This window comes from Homo sapiens, chromosome 14, assembly GCF_000001405.40.
Source record: "Homo sapiens chromosome 14, GRCh38.p14 Primary Assembly".
NCBI classification, from domain to species: Eukaryota; Metazoa; Chordata; class Mammalia; order Primates; family Hominidae; genus Homo; species Homo sapiens.
In genome coordinates, this window is record NC_000014.9 from 76,308,061 (window position 1) to 76,327,656 (window position 19,596).

At 47.8% G+C, this 19,596-nt stretch overlaps 1 protein-coding gene and 1 long non-coding RNA gene across 3 annotated transcripts in view, besides 1 other annotated feature; one reads left to right on the forward strand and one right to left on the reverse strand.

Moving 5' to 3' along the window:
• Window positions 1-2,359, reverse strand: part of LOC105370575 (uncharacterized) — an 83,107-nt gene extending 80,748 nt beyond the window's left edge. The window contains exon 1 of the long non-coding RNA XR_001750833.3: window positions 1,765-2,359. This is a non-coding gene — a long non-coding RNA (uncharacterized LOC105370575). The remainder of the gene's footprint in view (window positions 1-1,764) is intronic.
• Window positions 1,762-2,375: an enhancer, noted in NCBI's record as "H3K4me1 hESC enhancer chr14:76776165-76776778 (GRCh37/hg19 assembly coordinates)". NCBI's record gives its function as "activates a minimal SCP1, AML or CMV promoter by ChIP-STARR-seq in naive H9 embryonic stem cells {active_cell/tissue: H9 hESC(naive)}" and the evidence as "EXISTENCE:reporter gene assay evidence [ECO:0000049][PMID:30033119]".
• The window catches only part of ESRRB (estrogen related receptor beta), a 191,061-nt gene continuing 174,181 nt past the window's right edge, over window positions 2,717-19,596 (forward strand). For both annotated transcript variants that reach the window (XM_047431079.1, NM_001411038.1), the window contains exon 1: window positions 2,717-2,856. Coding sequence is in view for 1 of the 2 variants with exons in the window: in NM_001411038.1 (NP_001397967.1) it covers window positions 2,855-2,856 (2 nt within the window). In the remaining variant the exon portion in view is untranslated. The remainder of the gene's footprint in view (window positions 2,857-19,596) is intronic.

Consider the following 19,596-nt stretch of genomic DNA (forward strand, 5'->3'; position numbering starts at 1 on the left):
TTGCCGTGGGGTACTTGCCCTGCCAGTGCCGCTTCCCGTTTTTTGGGAAGAACCAAGGCAAGATCGAGTGATGTGGCTCAGGTAGGCAGGACACTGGATGGGCCAGGCATTATTCTAAGCATCCTTTTGTGTTGAGTCATTTTGTCCTCATGACAATCCTATGAGATAGACACTTAGAATTCCCACATTGCAGATGAGGAAACTGAAGCACAGACATACTAAGGAATTTTTCTAGAGTTTCCCAATAACAAGCGGAAGAGGCAAGATTCCAACCCAGGGAGTTCCGATCCAGAGCCTGTGCTTAACAGCCCCATCTGACAGGCTCAGAGGTGTGTGTCCGGATGTGCATCTGCTCCGAGTGGACTAGCAGGCCTGGCCCTTGAAGCTGGAGAGGTTTTATGATGAGAAAGTGAGGCCATGATGAGTCTCCTGCAAGCAAAAGCCTGGGGTCTCCTAAGATGATGACCTGCCATTCGAGAGAGCCCCTGTGAGCAGAGAGAAATGCCGCTGGTTATCAGCTGGTCCCAGCAGACCCCTGCTGCCCCCAGGCCAGCTTCAAGGGGGCAGACACCAAGGCTTGGTTCAGTTGGCAGAGTTGAGAACCAGACTGTGAGATGATACAGAGGTCGACCTTGAGATAAAAAGCCAAAACAAAGGTGCCACAGGGGCTTCCTAGGGAGAGGGGTGGCTGGGTTCAACCCAAACACTGACCCCTTCCTACAGACAGGGTGCTGTGCTAGGGGGCTGTGGAAGCCCTAGGAGGGGCTGCAGGATGTCTGCCAGAGATCAGCGAGGGCTCGGTAAGAGTTGGAGGAGAAAGAAAATCATGGAGGGAAGTCCTCAGTTTGCATCAGAAGAGAAAGGTTTTTCCCTGGGAAGGAGCCTGGTGGTGAATGTGCGTGTAAGTGGCTATAGCCCCAGTCATCAGAATGGGAGTCTCTCTAGAGCCCTGTCTCTGCAGGGTTATCTGCTTTTCCAGCAACTAAACTTGCAGGGAACCCTGTGTGTGGCCAGGCCTGAGTAGACAGGAGTGCCTGGTGGCTGACCACTGGCATCACTGGCCTGGTACTCAGAAGGGCAGTGGTTCTCAGATAAAACTGCGAGTGAAAATACAGCAGTTTGACTATATCTGCCTGAAGTCTCACTCCCAGTTCTGGGCCTTCCTAGGGACACTCTTATGATACAGACATTTCTAGAGAGTATCTTACTTAGTCCAAAGGAGTGGCTCAAATGACAGTATCTTAAGTATCACTCTTTCATTCAATTAGTCAGTCAATCAATCCATACTCAGGAGGGTCTTGCTACAGATCAGGTATTATGGGGATGTGATGATGAATGAGACAAACACATAGTCTTTACCTTCTTGGAGCTCATATTGCAATGGCAGGCTACTGGTGGAAAGATTGGAGGCCCTACACGTTTAATAGGTTTTTGACTTCAACAGCTTAGATACCACCCCATCCTCATAGTTTCTGATAACCTGGAGAGTAAAGGATTAGATCTAACATGAAGAGGAGGTTCAACTTCATTTCTTTTAAAAATTGGGGATCAGGAAGTTTTAGGGATTATGAAGTACCTGTCCCTTATCCATACCAGCAAGGGGTTCATCCTATGACCCCTCTTGAAGGGGAAACTCACCTGAAATTCTGCCTCATTTAGCATGCACAAGAAATCCAGAAAATCAAGACAGGTGACCCTGTGTAGTCAAAGCAAGTGGGTCTCCAGATGGCAGATGGGAAGCCCCCTGGGGTAATGCATGCTCACCTGGTTAATTGTTGAACAGCCCATACTTGTGCCGTTTCACCATGATTCTTCCAACTTCCAGAAACAGCCCCTTGGCTCAGCTTTCAGAGCTGGACTGGCCTATCCCAGAGAGGCGGCCCCAACTTTGTAGAAACTGGGACAGGCAGTGCTTCTTAGAGACCCTCCGGTACCCCAAAGAGCGGGGCTTGTTCTCCAAAAAGGAAATCTTTTCAGACGACTTGACGTCCTAAATCTTTCTGGAGAAAGCAGAGACATTAACACCCCCAGGGCCTTTCAACTTCAGGCCGTTCTTCTGTTGGGAACGCCATCTCTTGGCCTCTTCAAAGACCTGGCCTCACCAGGCAACTGCACTTCCTCTCTCACCCTCCAGGAGCCTTCTGCATGGCCCCCAAGAAGCCTGCCTGGCCCCTGAGCTGGGAAAGCTGAATTCCCTCCCTGCCTCCTAATTTGGCAGGAGGAATGGAAACTTTCGTGGAAAGCACTTGAGCTGACGAATGCTCCCAAGTCAGGACTTTGACTCGGGCCCTGACAGGGCCACGGGCTCAGGATCCGGAGGGGGGCGGCTCTCCTTCTCCAGGTCAGGACCTCCTGCCCTGGCTCCTCCCCTTGCTTTCTGCCGACCATCAGTCACCAGCTCCCCTGTGACCCCAAGTGACGGCCGCACACCACTAGAGAAGTCATTGTCTTACACATCCCCCCTTTTCACTTGCCCTCCCCCAGTTCCTCCTCCCCTTCATGGTGTATTTTTCTTCCACACTTTCCTGCGTCCATCAGTGGCTGTGGAGTCTGCATGGGGCTGGGTGGAGTTGGAAGTCTAGAGCTTTTTGCTGTTTTGTTTAAGACCTGGTTATGGTTGTGAGACTTTTTTTTTTTTTTTTTTTTTTTTGTCAGCTGCCTGTTATATCAATCACGGAGTCGGGATCTATTTATAGGTTGGGAGTACTGTGTCCTTAGTCACAAAGAGACACAGACAGGGGACTGTCAGCTGGTACCGGAGGAGCGGAGCAACGAGTTATCAGCAACTGAAAGCACCTGAGGGGCCGCACATTCCACCCCAGCCCAGTCCTCGTCCTCCACGCCAGCCCCAAGCATGTGAGTAACCCAACTTCTCCCTTTCTCCTCCCCAGACTCTGCGGGTCCTTTTCTGTCCCCTTTCTCTCTCTCTCTCTCTCTCTCTCTCTCTCTCTCTCTCTCTCAATGGATAAAAATATCTCCCCATGCCTGTTCTTTCATCCTGGTTTTCCGCACTCTAAAGCATCCCTGTGTGGCCGAGAGGAAAACGTTGCCTTTCTTAGACTGTCACAGGAAGGTCAGAGGGTCTCTGGATGGCTAGGTGGGACGGTGACACAAACTCATTTGGAAGCAGTGAGTTCCCTTTGATTTTTGTTTGTTTTCACTGAGAAAAAAGTAAGTACATCAGAAGGGCAAGGGAAAGTTTACATGCAGCTCAGCAGGGTAGCGATGTCGCCCAGCGTGAAAACTTTTATTTGCTGGCAGCTCCGGTGTAGGGCAAGCTGGGGAAGGTTACCCAAGAAGACCCAGTGCCCACAGGACAGGTAATGATGGGAGCTCCTGGAAGTTTTGGTTTCAACCTGGGAGCTTCCAGGTTCAGGGAGACTCCCCACAGTCCCGATGACCAGTTTTCTATAGCACCTTAAAGTAAATGATTTTCCCTCTCCCCTCCGCGGAGCAAGTTTGCTTTGAGAAGTCACGATGAGAGCTGAGGATTTGTCCTGCCTTACAGGCTGTCATTGGCTCCCTCATTTGGTGTATTTTCTTAATCCTGAAAGGGAACTTGGCTGGGGACTGGGAGGAAGAGTCCCAGGCCAAAGCCAGGTGTGGAGGGAGGGCTGTTGACTGCTTTGCTCTGCATCCTTCGCAAAGGAAGAAACTTAATATCGTGAGGCTTGTCAAAGCTGTGCTTGTTTCAGACAATTCGAATAGTGTGCCGGCTCTGAGTGCACCTCGGGCGGCTCTAGATGGGGCCTTCCCGGCCACAGTCCTGTGTCCACGGGGCTTACCTGCCACGAGCTTCCCGTGCAACGTTTGGGACTTTAGTTTCTGGATATTGAATAGTATTCACCCGAAATCCTGTACTTGGGAAGATTTGCTTTATAGAATTTACAAAGGAAAAGTAGCCCTACATTTTGAAAAAAAAAAAAAAAAAAGTAATGATGCCTAATTTATACTTAAGTACAACTTTTTAAATGTACCTTTTTTTTTTTTTAACCATGAGTTTCTATTTATCCAATGGATACCATATGCTATATGACTGAGGACTCCTTGATTTGTTTGGGAGAACAATATCCTACAAAGAAACAATCTTTCCAACAATTTAAAAGCATTAAACAAAGCAGATATGCCTGTATTATTTTTGATTGATTACAAACAAAAATAGTTTTACCAGCATGAAACCAGTTAGTTTCATCTAACTCGATGAAAGTTAAATAAATATGGATATACACACGTATGTTTAGAGAAGCAATTTGATATCATTTTTATTTTGACTGTTCTGAAACTTTAACTTTCCTTTTTCTGGTTCCATGTTTTCAGCTGTATTTTGTTTAGGGTTATTAATATCTTTAATCCATTCATTCATTATTTTGGACGGGAGAGTGGGGATCAGGAAGCAATGAGAAATTAGAAGGCAAACGTCCCATGTTCAGCCAGTAAGACCGCATTCAGTAGTGGAGAAATTCAGAACAAGGAGTATGGCGTACAAGGGGGTAAATGTCACTATTTAAGATCTAGTATAGACGGTGAAGTCTAAGAACTCCAGAGGGGGACAAACGCCAACTAGGAGTTAAAGTGTCTTATACATATAGCATTATTATTCTTCCTATTATGAGGGCCTCTATTTTGGTAAATATGTCCTGCTAAGGTTTTTTCACCATAATGCTGAAGTGGGATTTGGTGGATTATTGTTAATTAAAGCTCAAGTGAATGAAGTGATTGAGACATTGCATTCAGAAATCAGAGAAGATTGCTATTGGCAAAGCTGAACTTCTAGGACTTTCAGATCTCAATGGCTTTTGAGAAAAAATGTGGCTTTTAAAAATGCCTTTTAGTACAAGAACAAATTCTACCTCCCCTCCCCAACCTGCACACTGGAGCCTGCCTGGCCCACTGTGCAGGCCCAGTGTGTCAGGATTAAATGCAGTGGGAGAGAGTCCCGCATTCCTGAGCAAGTCCTGTGTTCTCAGAGCCTTAATGGTCAGACAGAAGAATATTTTGTTGGGACATTTAGCTAAAAACTGCCTCTTCCCTGGGCTACGTGTAGATCCTTTCAGGTGAGATAGGGGCTTGTCTGACCGTGTGATAGAGGGCCTGGCTTTCATCCTCAAGTTCAGGGTGTGGTTTGGCCCATCGGGCTTAGTTATAGAGATGCAGTTCAGGGAAACTTCAGTGTATTTGCATGAGACAGCCTCTGATTACTTAGTTTCTGCTTCAATAACTATTAATTTTATGTGGTTTGAGCTCCCATCAAATTCATTTTTTTTTTCAAACTGATTTCTTAAATGCAATTGGTCACGGGGCTGTCTGTGACTTCATGTCTGCAAAATCTAACCATTCCATCCTTGTCATTGTTTATTTCTCTGAATGTAAATGAGCAGTTTCCTGTGTGCATGCACTGTTGTTTTATGGGTTCCCCCCACCGCCCTCGAACACATAGGAATCCAGTCCTGACCTCCTCCCAAATTGGGGACAGTGGGGGCAATGAGCAGGTGCTTTGGAATGCAGCAGGCTCAGGTGCAGGAAGAGGGAATCACAAATACCTGGAAAGTGCTCCCCTAATTCAAACGATTTTACATAGTTGAGGCCTCTCCAAATACCCCATCAATTAAAATGGCAGCTGGCAGGATTTTAAAACCAAAGACCACGAGCAGCTTTTTCCCTATCACTTCACTTCTACAGTATATCTGTCCATCTTTTTCTTATCTCTATTTTTACATTTCATTATCCTCCCACTCTTTCTGTCCCTCCTGCTTTCCCTCCCCCTTTTCGCCTTTCTTGAAAACACATTTCTATCTGGCACAGAAAATAAACTCAGATTGTGGGTAGTTATGTTAATCTAATTCAATCCTCAGCGGGTTAAGAGTGAAATTCTAATAGTGGAGCGGTGGAGGGCTTTTTTGTTAATGGCTTGGGGATTACATTGAGTTAAAGGCTCATTTCCTAATCAAACAGAGAGGGAGAGAGTGACTCCGAATATTTATGAGTCTCCCAGTGAGAGTTTAAACATTCAACTCCAAAAGCAGGGTTTCTGCAGGAGGAAAGAGTTAAAACCCCTCAGGGCTGTTGGGAAAAAAAAAATTAAACCAGTTAAGCCATCAGCATTTTCAGGCTTCTGTACAACTTCTGTGCTTGCAAAGTGGAAGGCAGTGTGGAGCTGGAGAGAGGGGAGTCATTCCACAAAGCAAAAATGGCAACTGTGGTGCAAGCTCTGAAGCTGAAGTCAGCTGATTTGCTCAGAAAAGAGTGTCCCTTCCAATCCCCCTACAGCTGATGCACCCCTCAGTTTGCTAAGGGCCTGGAGGGGCTGTGTGCCTTCAACTCCCCAGATCGCTTCTCCTGCTCCAGTTCGGAGGTGAGAACATAGAGATAGGAGTATGGCTCAATTTGCTAGCAGCTAGGGAGCTCCTGTGTCGTCTGGTGGGGCCAGAGAAATGGATTCTCTCCCACTTTGGTCATGCCCCTGGAGTGCCGAGGGCTCAGTCTTCCCCTTTAGCACACCAATTAACATCTCCACAGGACCCTTTTCCCACTGTGATGTGTTTGGGTCTGAATCCCTTGGTTCTCCTGCTGGCTTTCTTCACGTGAGGCCCTCAAAGTCCGCCTGGCTCACTGTTCCCAGGTAAAGGCAGGTGAAGAACTCTCTGGTCTCCAGCCAGAGAAGCAACTTGGCCAAGGTCGAGCAATGTCAAGGCCAAGCTGAGGTCAGAAGTCTAAGTCCCGGCAAGCATTCTGGCCTCTCTCTCCCCTCCTACTCCAGGGAAAGTCAGAGCCATATGGCTGCCGAAACAGGCCCTGGCTCCCCTGGAGAGAGATTTCCTTCTTCAGCTTGGAAAGGGAGGGCAGGAATCCCTGATACAAGGGGATTCTGCATGCTCTGTGAACACACATCCTTTTTTCTGCCACCAACCAAGTGAGCAGTTTCTATTTGTTTCACGTGGGCCTTTTTTCCCTGTTTCATGAGGTCAGCAGAGGCACCAGGGTGCCAACTTTTTTTCTACAGCATCCCCTGGCTTTTTATTTCGCCTGTACTTGGGCACTGTTCTTTCTTTAGTGCTTCAAGCTCAGTGCCCTGTGAGTCTTGTATTTCTCCTTTCAAGTCAAGGTGGCATCTATAACACGTCTAGATCAGCTCTTCTGGGGCACCTTCTCCCTTTTCCTGGGGCTTTCGAGGTCCTCGCCTGGTCTCCCTCCATGACTGCATTCACCCCCTGTGCTATGCTTCTGTGTCTCCCTCATTAGGCCAGGAGCTCCACCGAGGAGAGTCCATGCTTCATTTCTCTTTGTTAGCCTGCCTCATCGTTGATAATTCCTGCCCTCTTGCCCTGACCCGTGCTCTACGGACAGTAGAGAGCTGCAGTTAAGCATGCGCCTTCCAAGTCAGACAGCCAGGGTTCAAATCCTGGCGCTCACCTTTCTCAGTTATGAGACTTGAGTTACGAAACCCCTCAGGGTCTCACTTTTCCCATCTGCAAAATGGGGATAACAATAGGATCAACCTCATAGGGTTGTTGGGAAGATGAAACGCACGTGAAGTGCTTAGCCCTGGGCCCAATAGGTGTTGACACTTTTATTTGTTCAGCACGGAGCACTCGCTTCTGCACACATCATGTCACACCATTAAAGACAGGCTCCCACACCTTCCACTAAGGGGATATTTTTCCTGAAAGTTGGCCATGCAGAGCTCTGTGTCAGCAAGACATGCAGCTTCATCCTCCAGTGGGCTATTCCATGAGGAAGCCCTCTAACCTGAGAAGAACCCAGGACCTTACAGCACTGTTTAAACCACTATGGGAGAGCAGAGGATGTGACCTGGGCTTTGGGCATCACTCCTCAGTCAGAGGAAGCTGTGACTCTTTTCCCTCTGTAGAAAGAGAATTTTCTTAAGTTTCTTGGCCCTGGCTCACATTCCAGTGAGCACTTTTGTTCTTGGGTCTCCAAGTCACTGCTGCACCCCCTCCACCCCACATTCTCAGAGGGCAGTTTAGGCTCTGCCTACAGAGCAGGCCAGACCAGTCCTGGCTGTGCAACCAACAGGGCTGCTTTTATAGGGCAGCTGGTGACTGCTTTGGCCTCCTCCCTCTTGACACGATCACTTGACAAATGAATCCAAACTCCATCACTGGAGTTCCTGCAAGAGGTGTCCTCTCGTGGGATGTCTGCAGTCCTGAGACCCTCAGTACTCCTTGTTCCCATGCAGGGACTCACGATGCGGCCAGGCAATGCTCTCTCTTCCTTTTCTTTGCTCACTGTTAAGCCATTGTTTCCTGATTGAAGCAGGGGACTGGAATATGAATCCCAGTGCCATCCAAACTTACAAAGTGTCCCATATCCTCACTCCCTCCCCTCTGCTCCTGCTCCTAGCAGTTGGTAGTAGTCATAGTAGTAGTACAATTAGTAGTAGTCACTATCTCCCTTTTTGCCTCATTATTCACCTTTGAAATTCCCCAGTGCCTAGTGCAGTGCCTGGCACATAGTATGTGTTCAGTAAACACATGCAGAGTGAATTGCAGAAGTTCTTTCTTCATGGGGCCACTTCTAGTCACTTCATCACAGCAGGAGGGATTTGATGCTATGGATGTCCACCTGCTTTCACTACTAGGTCAGCTCGTGACTCATTGATCATGGTCCTTGCCCCTATCCTTCTCTCCTCTCTGTCCCTCTCTCCTGCTTTCATGTTCCTCTGTCCAGGAAAAAAAAATGAGATGAGTCTTTTATCATATGTGCACAAATCTTCCCAGGAATTTTATTCTGTTCAGTGAAGAAGCTTTGTCTAAGTCGATGTCAAATTTAATTGCTAAACTGGTATCTCTCCTGTGAATATTTCCCTCATTTGTCATGCTCTCTCCTCTCCCCTTTCTGAGCCATACCTGCTTCCTCTAGCTGTTCAAACTCTGTAGGGCCCCCTGTGCTCCTCTTCTTGCTTTAACCACTCTGGTCCCGGGTGGTACACATGAGAGGAAGACCTTCCTTCTGAAGTTTTCCAAAGTGTCTGCTTCCATTAGCACAGACAAGGCTTTTGAAAGGTGTCAAGTTATGAACATCATTTTGGGTACGGGATTCTTCCCACAACAGTTTTTCTGCTCTCGTTTGGAAGACAGGGGATAAAAACTCAGGCTGCTGAGGGTTAAATGACAGCAATGAAAAGTCTAGGCATCTCTTGGGGACAAGTGGCTGGCTAAGACAATTGATTAGCTTGGCTTAGTGATCTTTCTAGCAATATTCAGGAGTAAAATTATTGCTGATTAGGCTCTGTGTGTGTGTGTGTGTGTGTGTGTGTGTGTGTGTGTGTGTGTGTGTTTTAGGGTTTACGGCAACAATGGTAGGATAAGATATGAGAAAGAAATGGATTGTTTGCTCCTAAGTCGGTCTCAGGAAGGAACCTATCATCCCATGTGCATCTGGGGTTATATTAAAATTGTGGACTTTATATGCACACAGGTCAGCTGGGGGAAGGCACAATGAAGGGTGCCTAGGGCCTCCTCATAGATTTTCTTTGCTACTCCCTGTGAATCTGTCATTATTTTGAAATAAAAAGTTAAAAAATAAAGTCAACTGGAAAGAGGCCCAGTGTTGGAGACCGCTTCCGCCCGCGGGCTCCGGTAGTCGGAAGGATGGCCCAGTGTGCTGTGGAAGGAGGCGGGTACCAGGCGGTCCAGCCCAGTTCCAACCTCAGGATTGCTGGTAATTCAGGTGCTGATGCTTTCAGGACCACAGTTTCCTTAATTATAAAATGAGCCACTGGGAGAGATCTCTTAGGCTCTCCAGCTCTATAAGTTTACATTTTTAGATGATGAACCCAGGCCATTGTTCTCCTAATATCACCAGTAAGATAGGTTATCCAGCCTGTGTTCCTCTCATCCAAGGCCTTGGGCCCAGATGTGGCTTTTCTTGTGCTGTGTGGCTTTAGCATCATTCTCCTTGGTTTGTTTTCTGTCCTCACCTTCCCCTGTCTATAAGCACCTCTAGGGGTTAGTGGAAAACTGTCAGGGTTCCTTTTTCAAAAACAAGTTTCCAAACTCTGCATTTTAAATTTTGGCTTTAATTTGTAGAGACCCTAGTTTTGTACCTCTGTGGCTTTAATTTTCCTCCTTCCCCAGTCTTCCACCCCAGCAGTCGCACCTAGGCTTGTACGTGTCTGGAGAGGCCCAACACCTGGGCTCCAGGTTTGCTAAAAGTCCTTTAGCAGAGTTGGAAGCGAGGAGCACAGTTGAGGTTTGGGAGGGGAGTTGCCAAACGGGGTGACCTCTGCAAGTTCTTAACTTCACTGTAGCTTAATTCCTTCACCTGCCGAGTGGGGCTGACACCTCCTCTGAGTGTCTCCCAGCACTGGTGTGAAGCAAAATAAAAATCAGAGGATAAACATTCCTTTAAAACTGGAAGTGCTTGCCAGTTTTAGACTAAATGATTCCCCCTAATGGTGACCTCCATGAAACAGTTTTGGTGAAAAGCAGGCTTCAGCGCCAAGCTACTAGAGCCTTATCCACGTTGTAACAGTTGTGACCTTGGGCAACTGTCCCAGCCTCTCCACTTCACACTCAGTTTCCTCATCTGTAAAATATGGGTTATAAGAACACCTCCTTCACTGAGTTGTTGCGAGAATTAAAGGAGCCCTGTGTAAGTCCCTTGAATAGTACCTGCTGGATAATAAACCCTCAAAGCCACTGCTGTGGGTGAGGATGATGACATTTTGGCTGTTATCATCATTTTGCAGGGCCTGGTGCCAGAAAGGCCAAGAAAGAGGAAACTTTCAAAGTTCCTACATTCCTCCCAGAGTCCCCCGGACAGCTTGCCAGTATAGCAGAAGATGCTATATTGAGTCACGGATGGCTGACCACAATACCCCTAATGTGCACATGTGTGCACAAGCATCTACAGGTGGTTTAAAACATGCTCTCATCCTTTACAATTCTCTGCTGAAGGGGACTCCACTCCCATATCCGATGACCAAGTGAGCATCCTTCCATTGCCTGTCTGGGCTTTGGGGTGACCTGGCCAAGCCTTTTTCCTCTCATGGAAATCTGCTCTCCATAACCTAAAACATCCACAGGCTGCTGCAGTCCAGATGTGAAGGTGGGATGCCATTTAACATGGCTTGTCTTTGCTGTCCTAAGCATTCAGAACCACTGGAGTGTCATCTCTGCACAGGGCCAATTCCTCTTCCCTGCGTAGCATAGCTAAAGTGGGGTTGCTTGTTTGCCACATATTTGATGGTGCATCTTTGGGGAGTACTTTGCAAGGAAAGAAGAATAGGAATAAGCATGGGCAATTTCTCATGCCTCTGAGGGGTGCCATTTGTATATTTCAAGGGACTTGGAGAACTAACATCAGGTTCTTGGGGAAAATTCCAAATCCAGACTTGTGACCAGCCTGGGTGTTTGTGCACACGTGTGCACATTAGGAAGGAGTATTGTGGTCAGCCATCCATGACTCTTCTTTCCCCATCTCAGGCTAATAGTAATCTTGAAGGAACATGTAATTACTATTTACTCTAGGGCACTCAATTGAGAACACACTCATGTAATGACTCTTGAGTTTTTCTGCCTTTAGAATCCCATATGCTGTTTCTCCTTTGGAAACCAGTGGGTATCAAGCACCACTTTTAGCCCAGGGGAAAAGACCACAAGATGGATATGAGTCCCCGCAAGTTCAAACTTTACTCTTGATTAGTAGAAACATGGTTGGTGGTGGTGTCTTTCTTCGGCACAATCTTCACTCGGATCTCTGCCCTTTATGATGGAAGCTTCAAAACAGAGCCAGTGTTAACCTAATGGATAGTCTTGGTGGACCGGGGCAGTCAGCAGCATGGCTAAGGGAAGGGAGTTAAGAAAATTCCTAGAGACACGATGATACCATTTATATAAGATTTTAAAACTTGCAATATATGCCATATATAGCCTAGGGATCAACCATAAGACATGCATGGGAATGAAACACCAACTTCAGGAGAAAATGGATATATGCTCATTGGGATATCATCTGTACTCAACTGCCAAGCATGCTTTGGCTTCCTCAGTTTCCCCACTTATTTTTGGGATGAATTTGCCTAATCATTTAAGGTGGGTAATGAGGCCAGAGAGAGGGCAAGTGGATGCATTGTTATTAAACCTGTGGAATCTATTTGCTAAAAATATCAGAAATATTACTTTGAAATATGACACTCTACTGATGCCGTAGGACACTATCTCAGAGGCTACCAAAGTGCTTACAGAAATAAAACTGATTTTGTAGCAGCATATTGAGCAAGCATTTACATTAGCTTCTATAAGCCTCTGCCTGATGGCTTTCTACGAGCCACTTCATCTCTTTTGGCCTCTGTTTCTTCTTCTGTAAAAGAAATCGGTAGACCAGATGACCTCCAAGGACTGTTCTGTTCAGTCCTGACCTTCTCCTGTGCCCCCCTGGGCAGTGATCATGTTGTATGACAGCTGTTTGCCTGTCTGTTTCCCCTCCAGAATTAAGGACTCTGTAGGCAGGGCATGGTGGGCCCATCTCCCAGCACCGTGCCTGGACACGGCAGGCACTTGACACGCTTTGGATGTACTAATGAGAGAAATGATACAAAAGTAGATGCCAACCCCCACAGCCCAGTGTCGACTTGGCTGTTTCCAGAAATGCCACAAGCCTGGCTGATGGTGCTTAGCGGTTTTGGTTTCCTCCCTTGAGGCCCTCCCTCATGGGTCAGGGGTGGTGGTTGGTGCCTTCATGGTGTGAACTGGAGAATATGTTAGCAATAATATGTAAACTGAGCTGCCCCAAACAAAGCCCTGAAAACACCTTGGAGGAATGACATTGTTTCCTGAATGCCAGCCTTACTTCTCTCCATGCCCATTCTACTGCCTGTTTCTGGCTTTTCCCCTCTCTCCATCATACTCTATTAATTTAAAGATATTACATTTGGAGACTCGCTAAATAAAGAGGCCTCAGAGCACAAAGTATCCCTCATCCATTTTCTGGGTCCCTCTGTGCTTCCTTATAAAGATTTTTTCTTATTTTTTACTAAATGGCCTCGATTTTATCATTAATTGCTGTGCGACAATTCTTTTTACTGTGTCTAACTTATTTCTTACATATTCTCCCGTAAGTCCTTAACTCTATTGGTCTCTGTGCCCCTTTCCATTTTTGCCTTTGCCATTTTATAAAATGTATGAAGTGATTCCTTTATATATTGAACCCTTGATCTCAGGCCTTCCCTATAGTCTTCCACCCAAATTTCCCAGAAGAATGGTTCTTAACAGTTGGACTTTCACAGTCCAGGTAATCTCGGGTCTTTGTCATTTCCATACTGAGCCTGGGGTCATGCCTTGTTCTCTGTCCCCTAAAATCTCGTATTTTCTTTAACCAGCAGTTTTCACACTGGGGTTGAACCATATTATGACTTTAAAGCTTTAAGAATTCTTCAGTATCTCTCTTTTGCTCTATATTGTGAAAGATTGTATGTTTTCACCTAGACAATAATCTCTCCTTGTGTTAACTGTACCCTTACCCGATACCTAATCATGACATTTCCCTAAGACATTTCTTTATTGTTTCCTTACCTTGTTGTCTAGTGCTTGCCTGGTTCTTGACTTTTTCAAGTGTGCCTCCCCTGTATTACTCTTCTGTGTGTGGGAGAAGGAAAGAGGCATTTTTTGAGAGCCTGTTCTGTGCTGGAAACTTCCTACAGTTTATCTCACTTATCCTTGGAACAACTGAAAGATGGTATTAAGATTCTTCCCATTCGGGAGGCTGAGGCAGGAGAATGGCGTGAACCTGGGAGGCGGAGCTTGCAGTGAGCCGAGATTGTGCCACTGCAATCCGGCCTGGGCTAAAGAGCGGGACTCCGTCTCAAAAAAAAAAAAAATATATTCTTCCCATTATACAAAAGAGGAAACTGAGGCTCTGAGGTTAAGGATCTTGCTTAAGGCCACCCAGGCAGCAAATAGTACCATAGAATGTCACCTTCTACAATAGGCAACGGGGCTGAGTGCAAACAGGCAACCACGTGAATACCCTTTTGTATCATTTACATGTATATTGAACTCAGTTCAACATTTTCAAAGTTTTCATCTTTTTATGTATTTTCTTTAAAAAGGTTTGAGAGTCCCCCTTCACAGACCCATGTGAAAGAGAGGTCCTGATACTCTAGCTTTGATTCCCCAAGTCCCTGTGTCCTTGTAAAGATGACAACACAGACACGTCTGCCAGGTCAGCCCTCTGTTAATCAGTCTTAGCTTTCCTTTGGAACTGCTAACAGCCTTGCTTTTCCATAAGTCAGTTTCTAAAAATCTCTGCTGAGGAGCCGGGAACCATGTTGGAGAATGCAGACCTAATCTGCAGGTTTAGACTTTCAAAGTGGCTGCGTCGCCAGGAGCTCTTTCCGAAAGCACGTGCTCATTTTCCCCTACCTTATCACGTCCACACCTTCCTGGCCCCATCTCCTGCCCTACTTCTGACCTTCTAGCCTCCCTTCACCATCCCATAGACAATGTTTTCATTCCATTGTGTTTCACATCTTGTGTTTTTCCCCACCATACTCTTTCCACAGGTCATCTTTCTTGAGACCTGAACCTGGTAGTCCATCACCTCTCCCACCACCAATATCATCTTAACCCCTTGGGGGACACGAACATGTTCATCCCTCCATGTGGGCTGTCCCAAGCTTACTCCACTGCCAGGCTTTCTCATTGAGGGAGTGAGACGTGGGCAGTGGGGTCTTCTGCCGATGCTGATTCTACCGCCTTGGGCAGCTGGCCTCCTCGCCCACTCTCCTGTGACCTTTATCTCCACGCAATCCGCCCACCTTGGCTCTTGGGATGCTAATCACATTGCTGAGGAGAGTTATAACATCTCCCTACCTTGGATGGAGTCCAGCATGCGCTCACTGTTTGGGACAAAGTGTTTATCCTCTATCTGCCCGTGACCTTCCGTGGACACAGGTTCATCAGGTTTCTGCCTTTCTGCTGGCTTCACTTTCTGTCCAGGGGCTCCCACAGCCTGTAGTCTCCCTTCTGAATGCAGTGGGTGGGGGGCGTCTGGGGGATGCTAGCATATGTTTAGAAGTCCCTGATGTGATTTCCAATGTTCAGCACTTCCTCCTTTTCTCTATGCCACAGTGTCACATTGAAAACCTCAGATCACCGAAGTTAGATGACCCAACAGAGAGATTTTTTGTCTCTAGAGCATTCACATTCTTTGGGGACATTTTTTTTCTATCTTGTCTGGCATTCTTAGAGTCCCCAGTTTTTGGTCTCTCTCTCTCTCTTTCTCTTTTTTTTTTTTTTTTCTTTTGAGAGAGGGTCTCACTCTGTTGCCCAGGCTGGAGTGGAGTGGTAGGAACATGGCTGACTGCAGCATTGACCTCTTGGGCTCAAGCAATTCTCCTGCCTTGGCTTCTTGAGTAGCTGGGACTACAGGCATGTACCACTATGCCTGGCTAATTTTTTTAATTTTTGGAGAGACAGGTCATCACTTTTTTGCCCAGGCTTGTCTTGAACTCCTGGGCTCAAGCAATTCTCCCACCTCAGCCTCCCAAAGTGTTCAGATTACAGGTATGAGCCACTGCACCTGGTCTGGTCTTTCTTTTCATAAGGAGCCCACTCAAGTTCCCATGCTGGGGAGGGGAGGTGTGTTGGATGTGACAGTAGTTGCTCCTGATAGAGGCCCCTGGGTTCTCAGCTGCAGGGTGACAGCATATTAGGGTGAATTGCGTGGGATCTGTCAACTTCCCGAGTGGTGGCCTTGACCAAGGCGCTGGTTCTCCAGATGGGAGTGACCCAGAGGAGGCCAATGCTGTTCTCTCTGGTTTCTGGGGCCATTGCAGGTTCAGGGGCTGGAATTTCCCCCAGAGTGGGCGAGTCTGCTGCATAACTGGTGCTTCTTCATCTGACGAAGGCATGTAAGTATCTCTGCCTGGTGATGTTTGGCATTGCCTTGTTCTTGGGTTCCATTGTCACCCTGGCTGTTTGGGGAAGACTTCTGAGAGGTAGGGGAGGAGACTAACTTAGGTCGGAGTCTCCAGGGGCAGAGCCTGAAATGGGCATTCTGGGCAAGAGCTGTGTTGAGGGAGTGCTCTCTGGGGAATCCTGTAAGGGACTGAAGAAGGAAAAATAGGGCGGCAGGAAGCTAAGCAAAGCTGTGGACTCAGCCAAGGTCTAGCCTCAGCCTATCCAGGAGCATAAATGACGCTGCAGAGTTGTCCCACCTTGAGGCACAGACTGGTCAGTTCCAACCCCAAGTCAATCAGTCATTGGCTGAGAGCTGCCCCGGCAGGGAGGGAGTAGACTCCTAGGCCCTTCTGGACCCCATGAGGGCTCCTGTGGGTCATGGGTGATTCTCAGGAGAAGGCTGCAGCTGTTAGCAGCTGGGGATGGGAGCATCACTGGCCAGAGGGATCTGAGCAGAGCACCAACAGCATCTAGGACAGAGAGACGATGGGAGCTGGTGCCCTAGTGTTGTCCTCATCCCCTCCCTCTCTGTGGGGGTCCCTCGAGAATGTGACCATGAGCTTCCATCTCTCTCCAGGTTGAGCCCATGGTAGAACTCATCAAAGAGAACCAGGACCCTGGGTGTTGAAGCTTCTAGGCTACAAAGACAGGGATTCTGAAGACCATCAGTGTCTGGAGCTTGGGTTACATCTCTCTTTCTCTCTGCTAGTTTGGGCTCAGCAAAGGCAGAGGAAGGGGAATCACTCACTGCCACATACGTACGCTTGGTGGAGGGCTGTACACAAAGTAAGAAATCGCCTCTTTCTCTTCTAAGGACAGCAGCTTCCCTCCAGGTCCTTTTGATGGAATTAGGAGCTCCCTACAATTGCCTTCCTACAGGGAAGTCTTTTGGCCTTTGATTTGCCTTCAGCAAAAGGCCAGGATAGGGAATGCAGGCATCACCTGTTACAAAGCGGCACTTTCTTTTCTTTTTCTTTTTCTTTTTTTTTTTTTTTTTTTTTGAGACAGAGTCTTTCTGTCACCCAGCCTGGAGTGCAGTGGCTCAATCTTGGCTCACTGCAACCTCCGCCTCCCAGGTTCAAGGGATTCTCCTGCCTCAGCCTCCCGAGTAGCTGGGATTACAGCTGTGTGCCACCACGCCTAGCTAATTTTTGTATTTTTGGTAGAAACAGGGTTTCACCATGTTGGTGGAGGTCTCCTGACCTCAGGTGATCCGCCCACCTTGGCCTCCCAAAGTGCTGGGATTACAGGCGTGAGCCACTGCACCCAGCCACAAGCAACACTTTTTATAAATGTCCACGTGCCTGGCTCTGCGTGGGAAAAATACGGAAGATAAATTCTTATTCTTTTGGAGTTTGAAATATCAAATTAGTTAGGGCAGGAGTGGGGAGAGAAAGGGAGGGGTTGTCTGCTGGCTTTAATTGGTTGTCGTCTGTCTGGCTGCCTCAAGGGAAAGGAGACGGGGTGTGTAAGGAAGGCAAGCACACGGAGAAGGGAAACTTATATTGCTGAAGGACCACGTTTAGAGTCCTGGGCCAAGTTCTTCTCGTATTAATGCATCTGATCTCCATGGCAAGCCTTTGAAGTAGGTGGTATCTCCAGTTTGTAGCTCAGGGAACAGAGGTACAAACAGGTACCTCTGAACAGGTAGCTCCTCAGCCTACCTGAGGAGGCTGCAGACCTAGGCAATGGCAAAGACAAGTTTCAAACTCAAGCCTGGTTGCCTCTTATAGCTCATGTTATCTTGCCACTAAACAAGTAGGGCTTGGATACCTAATTCTAGGAACACTGGAGTGGCTGAAGGGGGAGGTCAGGGCCATGAGGGCGCGCTGGCCCGCAGTAACTCTAGACGGCCCAGCTCATCCCAGGTCCCAAGGGCTTGAGTGTCTCCCTGAGTGAATTCCTCTACTGCACTCAGCCTCCTCTTCTCATCGCCCGCCTGTGCTGCACACCCACAGGCTGCAGCCCCCCAGCCCTATGCCACATCACATTTTCTCTATGTTTGAGACACCTCCTCCCTGAAGCCTCCCTAGTGATATAAAGGCTAAGAGTAAAGCACCCTCACTCCACATGCCCGGCATCCACCACTGACTGCAATCATATCTGTGCTCAGGGACCCATGCGTTCTCTCTGTGCCAGCCTGAGTGCCTGTGGCTGCCCAGTGGTTTCTTGTATACCTGCTCAGAATGCCATGCCCAAGTGTGTTTTTAACACTTGCTCTGTGCTGGGCACTGCTGAAACTAAGGGAAAAAAAAAGGTAAAGAAAGAAAGAAACTCAAGATGCAATGATGTCCCAGTGCTGAAGTGAAGGAACCTACACATGGACAGCTGATGGCCTGAGGACAGCATAGGGGATGGTAAAAGTCCAGACTTTGGACTTGGACAAATCTGGGTTCATATTGTGGCTCTGCTGCTTCTTAGCTTTGGGATCCCTGGCGAGTTAATCTGCCTCTTTGCACTTCAGTTTTCTTGTCTGTGCAAAGGGAACAATAAAATCCAATCTTGTGGGGCTACTCTAAGGACTAAAGTAGATGAGCCATACGGAAGCACCAGCTCCTCTGGTAGCTAAAGTTCATGGACAGTGAGTGTTGCTGGCGTTTGTGGACACAAAAGCATTGAGTGAGAAGAGTGTTGGTGGTAACAAGGTCAGTCTAATCTAGAACTTTGCTGACTCAAGAGTTTGGCTGTAGAAGTGGGTAGAGGGTAGGAAAGGGGTTTGCTTTGGAAGACGTTGGGGCTGCACGACTCCCTCCTCCTCTCCCAATTTCAGGACCCAGTTGCACCTTTGAAGGCCACTTGGCTTTCTTCTCTGGCTGTGCCCTGCACAGAGAAGGGGAAAAAAGCACCCTTCTTGCCAGCTGCTTTTTCCAGACTTCATATGTTTAGATCCCTGGGCATAGGGAGGGCTCCAGGGTGCATAGGCCACCATCTGCTAGAGCAGCCACGCCTGGGCCCAGCACCAGCACAGCCTCGGGACCCCATGCCCAGTTTTTGGCAGCTTCCAGGGCTGGGAGAGCCTAGGCCTGGGCCGGGTGACCTCGCAGCTGTGCCTTCCACCCCTCAGGGGCTTGTGTTTGTGTCTCTCTTGGGGGCCTTCCTGGCTGCTGGGCAAGTGGCCCACTGTCCTTCACTACCAGCAGCTCACATTGCCCAGCCTGTGCCAATGGTTGCCAAGGGATTCTCAACCAAGAGGCCTGGTGTCCTGGTGTCTCTTGCATATGCAGCTGCCTGCGTGTCACCCAGGGCTGGGGACCCACGTGGGGGTGGGCTGAGCCACTGGTCTCTACCTCCTGGGGCTTGGCCAGCTTCCCCATTTCTCTCTGACACGCCTGGAAACTCCTGAAAAGTGTCTATGCTCATGTGAGTCCAAGGGGAAAATTGGACAAGTGTCTCAGAAGATAGAGATGCTTGTTAAATTCTACTGAAAGGATATTTGACACTATGTGAGGTGGTAGGTTTTCTAGCCTGACTTCCCGGAAAGGTATTCAGCTTGTGATGATGATAATGATGATGATGATGATGATGATGATGATGAGCCAGGCACTGCGCTCTCTCCTGTCTTCCCTTCTCAGGCTCAGCAACCCAAGGAAGTGCATACTATAATTCCCCCAGAGGAGAAAGATGGGCCCTGGGGAGTTAAATGAGTAGCCTATGGCTTACGGCTGTTGAATGG